Raw genomic sequence first — 13,135 nt, forward strand, 5'->3', positions numbered from 1 at the left:
GCCTGTAATCCCAGCACTTTGGGAGGCCAAGGCCAGCGAATCACGAGGTCAGGAGTTCGAGACCACTCTGGCCAATATGGTGAAACCCCGTCTCTACTAAAAATACAAATATTAGCCGGGCGTGGTGGTGCACGCCTGTGGTCCCAGCTACTCGGGAGGCTAAGGCAGGAGACTCGCTTGAACCCGGGAGGCGGAGGTTGCAGTGAGCCGAGATCGTGCCACTGCACTCCAGCCTGGGCAACAAGAGTGAAACTCCGTCTCAAAAAAAAAAAAATCTACCTCCTGAGGATGTTCGGGAGATCAAATGGACATATGGATGTTAGAAGGGCCTTGTAGACTGCAAAATGCCCCCAAATAGTATTTTCTGCTATTAATTTGACTTAGGATAGACCTAAAGTTATTGATACACTTATTTCCTTATATAAAATGTGTAAATATTCATTTATTCAACTATATGAAGAACCTTAGTGCGCAGCGCTGCTAGGTAGAATCCCACTTACTATTTCAGATGTAAGTACTTTGTAAACACTTAGCATACATAACCTCATTTAATACAGCAACCCTATGAGGTTCATACTGTTCTAGTCCCTGATTTACAGATGAAGGGTATCAGGACTAAGAAATAAAATGCTTAGGTTACACAGCTAGAAAATGATGGTGTCAGATTTAAAGCTATGTCCATCTTCCAGAACCCTTCCCAGGCTTCTGACTTCTGTCTTGTGCAACTTATATTTCAGTGTACAGTTGAGTGTGGAATGCAAATGCTGAGAAAATAAATATTTTTTTGGCGAGTTCTCACTTTTTTGCAATTTCCTTGAATAGACTTCACTATAATAAATTTTGAAGTGGTTATTTTTTCCCCTCTTAAATTGAGCAGTGTGTTGGAAGTGTATAAATGGAAAAATGCTGTCATAGATGTAATTGACATTTGATTGGAATTTTTGGTAGAGAAATTGAATTGATGACCCAGCAAATTATTATTAGAGAATGAGTTAAACAGACAACCAGCTTACACTTCCAGGTAGACCACCAATTTCAGAGTGTTGTTTAACTTTGGCAGACCATTTTACCCCTTAGAACTCTTCAGGGGTAAGCTAACATGTGGTTTAAGTGCAATGAAGTAATGTGAGTTATAAATTATGGTATATTTAGTCTCATACTGGAAGAGCATGAATATAAATCTATGATAGCATTTCTGAAGTAAAGTGCATAGGAACCTCCATTTTATCTTCTGTGGAGATCTTTTTTTTTTTTTTGAGACGGAGTTTCGCTCTTGTTGCCCAGGCTGGAGTGCAGTGGCGCGATCTCGGCTCACTGCAACCTCCGCCTTCCAGTTTCAAGCGATTCTCCTGCCTCAGCCTCTCGAGTAGCTGGGACTACAGGCACGCGCCACCACATCCAGCGAATTTTTTGTATTTTTAGTAGAGACGGGGTTTCACGATGTTGGCCAGGATGGTCTCGATTTCTTGACCTCGTGATCCGCCCTCCTCGGCTGGGATTACAGGCGTGAGCCGCCGCGCCCGGCCAAAACTGTGGAGATCTTTATTAGAAGAGAGGTGGGTAGCAGGTTCGAGCTGTATTAAGATTGCCTTATGAAATTGGATTTATTGAGGGAAATGCATCTTTCATTTTTCTATTCTATAAGCAATCGCTGGATCAGATTCATTATCCAGACTGCCATTAAACAAACAGTTGTTGAAACTTATTAGATGCCAAGCATTATACCAAGCAGCAGTTGATGTACATTAACTCTTTTTTTAAGAAAAATATTTTAGACCATGTGTGGTGGCTCATGCTTGTAATCCCAGCACTTTGGGAGGCCGAGGCAGGTGGATCACCTGAGATCAGGAGTTCGAGACCAGCCTGGCCAACATGGCAAAACCTCGTCTCTACTAAAAATACAAAAATTAGCCAGGCATGGTGGCATGTGCCTGTAATCCCAGCTACTAGGGGGGCTGAGGCAGGAGGCTCACTTGAACCCGGGAGGTGGAGGTTGCAGTGAGCCAAGATCGTGCCACTGCACTCCAGCCTGGGCAACAGAGCGGGACTCTGTCTCAAAAAAAAAATTTTTTTTTAAGTAGAGACGGGAGTCTTGCTATGTTGTCCAGGCTGCTCTCAAACTGCTGCCTCAGAGGTTGAGATTACAGTGTTGAGATGAGTTGCCTCAGTGTTGAGATTACAGATGTGAGCCACCACACCTGGCCCCTTAACTCTTTTAAACCTTTTAATATAACAGTGTAAAGGGTTAATCTTGTTCATTTTAATAATGAAGAAACAGGTTCTGAGAGGTCAAATAGCTTTCACAAGTAGTAAGTGGTAGAGATTTAGAAATTTATATCCACAACCATCTTCTGTGTAACTTAATGGAGAAGTCAAGTACACACATGAATAATGGGTATGCGATATATATAGATATATATATATGTGTATATATGTATATTGTATATATACATATATATACGTGTGTGTGTGTATATATATATACATATATATATACACACATATATATATATACATATATATATATACACACATATATATACACATATATATATACACACATATATATATATATATATTTTTTTTTTTTTTTTTTTTTTTTTTTTTGAGACAACATATCTCTGTTGCCCAGGCTGAAGTGCAGTGGCGTGATCATAGTTCATTGCAACCTCAAACTCCTGGGCTCAAGTGATCCTCCCACCTCAGCCTCCTAAGTGGCTAGGACTAGAAGTGCCTGGCTAATTTTTGTCTGTTTGTTTTTGAGACGGAGGCTTGCTCTGTTGCCCTGGCTGGGGTGCAGTGGTGCGATCTCGGCTCACTGCAGCCTCTGCCTCCCAGGTTTAAGCTATTCTCTTGCCTCAGCCTCCTGAGTAGCTGGGATTACAAGTGCCTGCCACCATGCCTGGCTAATTTTTGTATTTTTAGTACAGACAAGGTTTCCCCGTGTTGGCCAGGCTGGTCTCGAACTCCTGACCTCAGGTGATCCACCTGCCTCGGCCTCCCAAAGTGCTCGGATTACAGGCGTGAGCCACCGGACCTGGCCAGCAGGTAACATTTATTAAGTATCTACTATGCCTTAGGCATGGTGTTAATGTATAACTATTATGTTTAATCCTTACAGCAGTTTACAAAGTACCATAGGTGGTATGCATAATGAAGCAGATCTATTGATGTATTTACTCAAGGTGATTAAGCTACTAGGTAGTGGAATTCTAGTGGGTCTAGATCTGGACTTGATGGCTGAGTTCTTACTAATATACCTTGCTACTTTGGAAGAGGAATAGAGTTTCAACATGTGTTGGGCAGAATATTCAAAGCTAAAGAAATAGCTTGCACAAGGTAGGGAGATGGGAAAGTGAAGTGTCTGTGGTGATGAACTGAAGAGTATTGAAAGTGGACAATAAGACTAGAAAGGTAAATTAAAGCCAGATTTTGGAGGCCTTTCAAAGCTGTTCACAATGTTTAAACTTTAATCTGTAGATGAGGGGAGCCATCAAAGGATTTTTCAACTAGGGAGTGACACTAGGTTTCAGGTTTGCTTCATTAGCAGTATGGAGTATGTGTTTGGAATCTCCACAGGGGTCAGTACAGAACAGGATGACACTGCTAGGAGTTGGTTCTCAATATGTTTCTTCATTTGGTATATTGAAATCAGTAAAAGTAAAATATTTTGGAAATCTCAGGTTTCCTGTATTTCAATTTTTTTATGATGTTATTTGGTTAGAACTCCCCAAGGCATTTTATTTCATATCATGTTTCTCAGCCCATTTGATATCTTCCAGGATTTTTCTACAGTTCTCCACTTCTGTTTATTTTGGAACCAGTTGAATATGAATAACTATTGCAGACAATTGTTTTCAGCTATTTCAGATGGGAAAGAATAAGGACATAGGTTTTAAGGAGAGCTAATGCAGGTATGTGGAAGGTTACTTTTATTGGCGTTCATTTTCCCAAATTTCCAAATATAGCAGACTCTCCTAGTGTCTTGGTTTACTGCCTCTAGGTTGCTGTTTGAACAACTGGAGAAGGATGACATGGACAGAGAGAAGGGGGAATTAAAGGAGTTATGCAGGCCAGCAGAGGAAGAAATGATCCCTTTTCTGCTTGCACAGGAGGAAGAAATTTATGACCCTCATCCTTTTAAATGATAGCCTGAACGCTGGGCTGTAGAATCAAATTTATAAGTCATTTTGAAAATCTTTCTTTTGGCTTCACCTGACTATATTACCTAAAGGAAAAAAAAACACATGGTGCTTTTTGTTCATGTATTTAAAACAGAACATACAGTGGTCCATTTGAGGGTTTTTTGCCAGAGAATTTGGCACTGTTGAGAAAACAAGAGCTTTGAAAATCCAGGCAAACATGACTTAACTTTTCAACAGCTTATGGTGAGTTCTGTGATCTTGAACAGGTTCTCACTTCTTTGAACCTCTTTCATTTTCTATAAAATGGAGATACTGGCCGGGCGCAGTGGCTCACACCTGTAATCCAAGCACTTTGGGAGGCCGAGGCTGGCAGATCACGAGGTCAGGAGTTCAAGACCAGCCTAGACAACATGGTGAAACCCCGTCTCTACTAAAAATACAAAAAAATTAGCTGGGCGTCGTGTCAGGTGCCCATAATCCCAGCTACTCGGAAGGCTAAGGCAGGAGAATTGCTTGAACCCAGGAGGCGAAGGTTGCAGTGATCCGAGACCGCACCACTGCACTCCAGCCTGGGCAAGAGCGAGACTCTAAAAAAAAAAAAATTGGAGATACTATTATCTAGTTCACAACATTCTTTTTATTTTTTACTTTAAAAAATCTAGTAGGCTGGGTGCCATAATCTCAGCACTTTGGGAGGCCGAGGCAGGCAGATCACTTGAGGCCAGGAGTTCGAGACCAGCCTGACAAACATGGTGAAACCCCGTATCTACTGAAAATATAAAAATTAGCCAGACATAGTGGCATGCACCTGTAATCCCAGCTACTCGGGAGGGTAAGGCAGGAGAATCACTTGAATTCTGGAGGCGGAGGTTGCAGTGAGCCGAGATCGTGCCACTGCACTCCAAGCCTGGGCAACAGAGTGCGACTCCGTCTCAAAATAAATAAATAAAAATAAAAATACAAAAAAAGTTAGCCCAGTGTGGTGGCACAGGCCTGTAATCCCAGCTACTCAGGAGGCTGAGGCATGGGAATCACTTGAACTCAGGAGGTGGAGGTACCAGTGAGCCAAGATCGTGCCACTGCACTCTAACCTGGGCAACAGAGCCAGATTCTGTCTGAAAAAAAAAAAAAAAAAAAAAAAAAAAAAAAAAATCTAATAATACATGCTTGTTGGAAGTTAGCAACATACAATTGTATTTTAAAAAGTAATCAAATCTTATTTTATTTCCCCATTCTAATTCCAGGTTTGTTGTTTATCTTTGTGTATTTTTGTCTTCTGCATACACAGCTTAATGTGGAAGCTCTCTTAACCTTAACCTTCACTTGACTGATTAATTGGAGCAGATATCCTCCTTTTCCTAAACTCTATTCTGTAATATGTTCAAGCATTTCTGCAAACTCTACTCTGTAATGCACTCAAGTGTCTCACCAGTCAAGTTGTATTCCTGACAAGAGGCAGTTATATTTGCTCCCAAACTAGTGTGTGCTGGTTATGTTTGTCACATGTGTTTAATTAAACACTACATAAACCTGTAAAATACCAGTGCAAAAAGAGTTTTCATCGATACGAAAACTAAATTAAAAGCTTTAAACAGGCTCTGTCTGGGGAAATTGCTAAAAAAAAAAATTGTTGTTTAGTTAGGTGTGGGCAAGTTAACTGTAAATGACTTAGGGAGAAATCATTGAGATACAACATTGTACACTTACTGCTTGGCAAGTGTTTAAGGTTGCACTACACTTAAGGAAATCAAATCAGTATGGGTTATGCTAAAAAGATCCCAGCCTGGGCAACATGGTGAAACCTCATCTCTACTAAAACTACAACAAAAAAATTAGCTGGTCGTAGTGGCGCATGCCTGTGGGCCTGTGATCCCAGCTACTTGGGAGACTGAGGTGGGAGCATCACCTTAGCCTAGGAGGTGAAGGCTGCAGTGGGCTGTGATTGCACCACTGCACTCCAGCCTGGGTGACAGAGTGAGACCCTGTCTCAAAAAAAAAAGTAAAAAATAGCCAGGCACAGTGGTGCACGCCTGTAATCCCAGCACTTTGGGAGGCTGAGGTGGGCAGATCACCTGAGGCCAGGAGTTTGAGACCAGCCTGGCCAACATGGTGAAACCCCATCTCTACTAAAATACAAAAATTAGCCAGATTTGGTGGCGGGTGCCTGTAATCCTAGCTACTCAGGAGGCTGAGGCAGGAGAATTGCTTGAACCTGGGAGGCAGAGGTTGCAGTGAGCCAAGGTCGCACTAGTGCACTCCAGCCTGGGTGACAGAGTGAGACTCCCTCTCAAAAAACTAAAAATAAAAACTAAAGAAGTTCCAAGGAGTGCTAGTGGATTCATTCCCTAAAGAAAACGATAGGCTTTTATCAGAAACTTATGTTCATGTGAGTACTTTATGTTAAAATGAAATATTTACATAAATATTCATTTATGTAAAAATGAAAACATGTAAAATGTTAAAATGAATATTTTTATTACTTTGACTTCAGTTAATTGATTAGTTATGGGTCTCATTCTCATTGGGTAAGAGAACTTCTGTCTTTGTCTTATAGAGATATGATTATATTATACTTAACTCTGCATAGCATAGGTAAGTAGTCATGAAGACTGACTGGGTTTGTTTGATTGAGACAGAGTTTTGCTCTTGTTGCCCAGGCTGCAGTGCAGTGGTGTGATCTCAGCTCACTGCAACCTCCACCTCCTGGGTTCAAGCAATTCTCCTGCCTCAGCCTCCCGAGTAGCTGGGATTACAGGTGTGTGCCACCACACCCGGCTAATTTTTGTATTTTTAGTAGAGATGGGGTTTTGCCATGCTGGCCAGGCTGGTCTTGAATTCCTGACCTGAGGTGATCCGCCTACCTCGGCCTCTCAAAGTGCTGGGATTACAGGCGTGAGCCACCGTGCCCGGCCCAAAATATATTTTTAAAACTTAAAATGAACAACTCAATCAAAAGGTAGGGAAAAGATCAGAACAGACAACTCACCAAAAAAGATATACAGATGGCATGTAAGCATATGAAAAGATGCTCAAATCTTTAAGGATTTGAGGTCCTTAAGGAATTGCAAATTAAAACAGCAATGAAACAGGAACTCTCCTGAGCTCAAGCAGTCCACCCCTTGGCCTCCCAAAGTGCTGGAATTACGGGTGTGAGCCACTGCACCCAGCCTCAACTGGAATTTCTGTTCCACTGGTCTTCCCCTATATATGCCAATATAACACTTAATTATAGAGGCTTATGATATATTTTGATCTGGAGGAACACCCCTGCCTCCACTCTGTTGCTCTTTTTCAGAGTTTTCCTGTTTATTTGCTCCTCTAAAAGAAATTTGAAATCAACTTTTTAAAGTTGAAATTTTATGAAATTTGTAAATGAACTTCAGGGGTTGTAGTTGACATCTTTATGTTGCTGAATCTGTTCAAGAACATAGTTATATCTTGGAAAGGTTTTGACATACTTACTCAGTAGTGTTTGCTGGCCTCCCTTTTTTGGGGTACTTCTTTATTTGACAAGTACAGACACTTATTATCAAGTTGGTTCAAAATGCGTTATTTTTTCAGAGTGGGCTGGGCATCGATATTTATGAACTCCTCTAAGTATTTAAGAGGAATATTTCTGAACCTTGCAAAGTAGTATACATTCTGATTACTCTGAGTAACAGATTACCTTTACAGCAGATAGTCTTTTAGAAGTAGGTCTTTGAGATGGGTATTGATAAAGATTAGTATTTTTTGTTTTGTTTTTTTGAGACGGAGTTTCGCTGTTGTCCCCAGGCTGGAGTGCAATGGCTCAACCTTGGCTCACTACAACCTTTGTCTCCCAGGTTCAAGTGATTCTTCTGCCTCAGCTTCCAGAGTTGCTGGGATTATAGGCGCCCACCACCACTTCTGGCTTATTTTTTTGTATTTTTAGTAGAGACAAGGTTTCACCATGTTGGGCAGGCTGGTCTCGAACTCTTGACCTCAGGTGATCCACCTGCCACAGCCTCCCAAAGTGCTGTGATTACAGGCGTGAGCCACTGTGCCCGGCCATAAACGTTAATTTTGTCATTTTTATTTTGGACCATCTGAGGATTATTTCACATATTCAAGGATTCTAGTTGTCGTTTCTCCAACATTGTATTTTTGCTTAAAATTAGTATCAAAAATGAAATAGTCATAAAACTGATTATTTGATTTGAACTGTTTTCAGGGGTGTGTGTGTGTGTGTGTGTGTTTAATACTACTGTTAGTGAGAGTGCCAGAAGTGATGAATAGCAGAAATCACCGTGAACACTTGGGGGGCCTGTGTGTGGGCCTTGGACTTTTCCACCAAGGAAATTATGAAAACTTTCTCACAGTCCTGGAATAAATTTGAAAGAGAACAATTTTTCATACTAAATACTGGGGAATATTTTTAAATGTGTGTTTGTAAATTCTTATTGGAGTTAAAGTCACAAAAAGTCACAGTCCTTAGTTAACCCTCTTGTCATATGCATTGCCACTGCCTCAGTTTATACTTCATTTCTCCTCTGGACTAAACTTGTATAACTGGTAGCCCACATTTAAAGTCTTCTCAATTCAGCCTTCCTACTTTTTCCAGAATAATATTTCTATTCTCTTTCTCTTCTCTTTTCACTCCTCTTCTCCCTTCTCTTCTCTTCCTTGACAGAGTATCTGTCGCCCAGGCTGGAGTGCAATTGTACAGTCTTGGCTCACTGCAGCCTCCGCCTGCTGGACTCAAGCCATCTTTCCAGCTCCCCTTCTTGCGTAGCTGGGACCACAGGCACGTGCCACCACGCCCAGCTAATTTTTGTATTTTTAGTAGAGATGGGGTTTCGCCATGTTGGCCAGGCTGGTATTGAACTCCTGGCCTTAAGTGATCCACCTGCCTTGGCCTTACAAAGTACTGGGATTACAGGCATGAGCCACCACGTCTGGCCTCAGAATAATATTTTTCTTTTTCTTCCTTTTTTTTTTTTTTTTTTTGAGACGGAGTCTCACTCTCTCACCCACGCTGGAGTGCGGTGGCTCGATCTCGGCTCACTGCAACCTCCCAAGTTCAAGCGATTGTCCTGCCTCAGCTTCCCGAGTAGCTGGGATTACAGGCGCGTGCCACCACACCCAGCTAATTTTTGTATTTTTTAAGTAGAGATGGGGTTTCACCATGTTGGCCAGGCTGGTGTCAAACTCCTGACCTCGTGATCTGCCCACCTCAGCCTTCCAAAGTGCTGGGATTACAGGCATGAGCCACTGTGCCTGGCCCAGAACAGTATTTCTAACAAAAATAATTGGAGTGGTATTGATTAGAGCAGCATAAAATTTTTCTTTGTACCTCATGGTCTGACTTCACTGTCAAACCTTACATTTTTACCCTTTCTATTTCTATTCCAGTGATACTTTTTAATTTCCCTAACATGTTATTCCTTCTCATGCCTCCCTTGCTCTTCCCTTGTCCTGAAATTTCTCCTTCCACTAGTTTTCAGCTCAGAACCTTGATTTCTTTCTTGATAAGTTCCTTGAAGGACTTAAGGATTTGTTTACTGGTGTGTAGTAATTGTCATAATAATAAAATAATTTACATGTCTTTTAACTCCACAGAGTTTTGGGGGGTTCAAACTGATTTCTTTGTGCTTGCTGCATGATAGATGCTCAATTAATATTTGCTCAATGACTAATTCACCAGAAATCTCAATCCCAAAGAGTTTTTTGTTGGATTCTTTTTTTTCTCTTTCTCTTTGTTAAAGCAATTCCAACAGCATTAAGTATCCTATTTTTAGAAGAAAGAAGAAAGCCAAAATTCCAGTTAACCTTTTTTTTTTTTTTTTTTTTCTTTTTGAGATAGGGTCTCACTCTGTTGCCCAGGCTGGAGTGCAGTGGCTCATTCATGGTTCACTGCAGCTCCAACCTCCTGGGCTCAGGCACTCCTCCCACCTCAGCCTCCCAAGTAGCTCGAACTACAGGCCCACGCCACCACACCCAGCTAATTTTTTTATTTTTATTTTTTGTAGAGACATGGTCTCATTATGTTGTCCAGGCTGGTCTCAAACTCCTGGGCTCAAGCGATCTGCCTGCCTCAGCTTCTTTTTTGTTTGTTTGTTTTTTGAGCATTGAAAGTTAACCATATTCTCATCTTTGCAGCAATGTAGGGGAAGGAGGTCTGTATTAGGAACTTGGCAATTTGAGATCTCTGACAGTTACTTAATCCTTCCAGGCCTCAGTTTCTGTATCTGCAAAATGACATAGATATTTGTGTGGGTGTGGGTGTGGTTGTTTTGTTTTGTTTTTTCTTTCAACTTTCATTTTAGATGAGGGGGTACATGTGTGGGTTTGATACATGAGTAAATTATTTGTTGCTGGGATTTGTTGTATGAATGATCCCATAGCCCAGATTGTAAGCATAGTATCCAACAGTTAGTTTAATTTTTCAACACTTGCCCCCCTCCCACTCTACCCCATCTAGTAGTCCTCAGTGTCTATTGTTCTCATCTTTGTGTCCATGTGTACTCAGTGTTTAGCTCCTACTTACAAGTAAGAATGTGGTATTTGGTTTTTTGGTTCTGCATTAATTTGCTTAGGATGACGGCCTCCGGCTACATCCATGTTGCTGCAAAGGATGTGATTTTGTTCTTTTTTATGAGTGCGTGGTATTCTATAGTGTATATGTACCACATTTTCTTTATTCAGATCACTGTTGATGGGCATCTAGGTTGATTCCATGTCTTTGCTATCATGAATAATGCTGTGATCAACATATGAGTGTGTGTCTTTTTGGTAGAACGAGTTATTTTCCTTTGGGTGTATACCCATTAATGGGATTGTTGGGTCAATTGATAGTTCTGGTTTTTTTCTTAAGTTCTTTGAGAAATCCCCAGACTGCTTTCCACAGTGGCTAAACTAACTTACATTCCCACCAGTGTTATATAAGCATTCGTTTTTCTCTGTGGCCTTGCCAATATCTAGTTATTTTTTGACTTTTTAGTAATAGCCATTCTGACTGGTACAAAATGGTAACTCATTGTGATTTTGATTTGCATTTCTCTAATGAGCAGTGATGTTGACTATTTTTGGCCGCGTGTGTGTGTGTGTGTGTGTGTGTGTGTGTGTGTGTGTGTATTTTTTTTTTCCTGAGGGTCTCACTTTGTTGCCTGGGCTAGAGTGTAGTGGCATGATCTCAGCTCACTGCAGCCTCTGCCTCCTGGCCCTGTAAATGTCTTTTGAGAAGTGTCTGAGGCGGGTGTGATGGCTCACGCCTGTAATCCCAGCACTTTGGGAGGCTGAGGCAGTGGATCACTTGAGCTTAGGAGTTTGAGACCAGCCTGGGCAACATTGCAAGACCCCAACTGTACCAAAAATCCAAAAGATTCACCAGGCATGGCGGTGTAGGCCTGTGGTCCCAGCTACTTGGGAGGCTGAGGTGGGAGGATCACTTGAACCTGGGAGATGGAGGTTGCAATGAGCCAAGCAAGATGGTGCCACTGCACTCCAACCTGGGTGACAGAGTAAGACCCTTTGACTCAAAAAAAGAAAGAAGTGTCTGTTCATGTACTTTTGCACCCACCTCCCCTTTTTTTCTTCTCTTTTTTTTTTTTCAGACAATGTTTTACTCTGTCGCCTAGGCTGGAGTGCAGTAGTGCCATCTTGGCTCACTGCAACCTCTGCCTGCCAGGTTCAAGCGATGTCTCTTGCCTCAGCTTCCTGAGTAGCTGGGATTACAGGCGCATACTAACATGCCCAGCTAATTTTTGTATTTTTAGTAGAGACAGGGTTTCACTGTGTTGTCCAGGCTGGTCTCGAACTCCTGACCTCAAGCAGTCCACCCACCTCGGCCTCCCAAGGTGCTGAGATTACAGGTGTGAGCCACTGTGCCCAGCTTTTTTTTTTTTTTTTTTTTTTTTGAGACAGGTTCTTGCTCTATCTCTCAAGCTAAAGTATAGTAATGTGATGATAGTTCACTGTGGCCTCAGAGTCCCAGCTCAAGTGATCCTACCACTTCAGCCTCCAGAGGAGCTGGGACTACAGGTGTACACCACCACACTGGGCTAATTTTTTTTATTTTATTTTTTTTTTTTAGAGATAGGGTCTTGCTGTGTTGCCCAGCCTGGTCTTGAACTTCTGATTTCAAGTCATCCTCCCACCTTGGCCTCCCCTAGTGATGGGGTTACTGGTATGAGCCACTCGGCCTGGCTTTTGCCAGTTTTTTTTTAATGGGGTTATTATTATTATTATTTGCTTGTTGAATTGTTTCTCATATATTCTGGATATTAGGCCTTTGTCAGATTCATAGTTTGCGAAGATTTTCTCCCATTTTGTCTGTTTACTCTGTTGATAGTTTCTTTTACTGTGTAGAAGCTCTTCAGTTTAATTAGGTCCCACTTTCCAATTTTTGTTTTTGTTGCAAATGTTTTTGGGGACTTAGTCATAAATTCTTTGCCAAGACCAATGTCCAGAATGATACTACTAGGTTTTCTTGTAGGATTTTTATAGTTTTAGGTCTTACATTTAATGATTAATATTTTTAAACTTTACAGGGGTGTTAGAAGTAAGCATCAGAAAAGCTAGGTGCAGTGTCTCACACCTGTAGTCCCAACACTTTATGAGACTGAGGTGGGAGGATCACCCGAGGTCAGGAATTCGAGACCAGCCTGGCCAATGTGGTGAAACCCCATCTCTACTAAAAATACAAAATCAGCCAGGCGTGGTGGCAAGCGCCTGTAGTCCCAGCTACTTGAGAGGCTGAGGCGGGAGAATTGCTTGAACCCAAGAGACAGAGGTTGCAATGAGCCGAGATCGCAACATTGCACTCCAGCCTGGGTGGCAGAGTGAGATTCTGTCTCCAAACAAAACAAGAAAAAAGAGTGGATCAGAAAACACATACTATAGTGCTTGGTTAATTGATATTTAATAGACTGCACAGTGGCTCATGCCTGTAATCTCAGCACTTTGGGAGGCCAAGGCAGGCAGATCATGAGGTCAAGAGATCGAGACCATCCTGGCCAACATGGTGAAAC

General features: G+C 41.7%; 1 protein-coding gene and 1 long non-coding RNA gene across 3 annotated transcripts in view; both read left to right on the forward strand.

Annotated features, from left to right (window-relative positions):
• The window catches only part of FAF2 (Fas associated factor family member 2), a 61,690-nt gene that overhangs the window by 930 nt on the left and 47,625 nt on the right, over positions 1 to 13,135 (forward strand). The window lies entirely within an intron of this gene.
• On the forward strand, positions 3,001 to 5,683 carry LOC124901142 (uncharacterized). The gene is made up of 2 exons (XR_007059070.1): positions 3,001 to 3,914; positions 4,004 to 5,683. It is a non-coding gene; the product is annotated as an uncharacterized LOC124901142 (long non-coding RNA).

This window comes from Homo sapiens, chromosome 5 (assembly GCF_000001405.40).
Source record: "Homo sapiens chromosome 5, GRCh38.p14 Primary Assembly".
Taxonomy (NCBI): domain Eukaryota; kingdom Metazoa; phylum Chordata; class Mammalia; order Primates; family Hominidae; genus Homo; species Homo sapiens.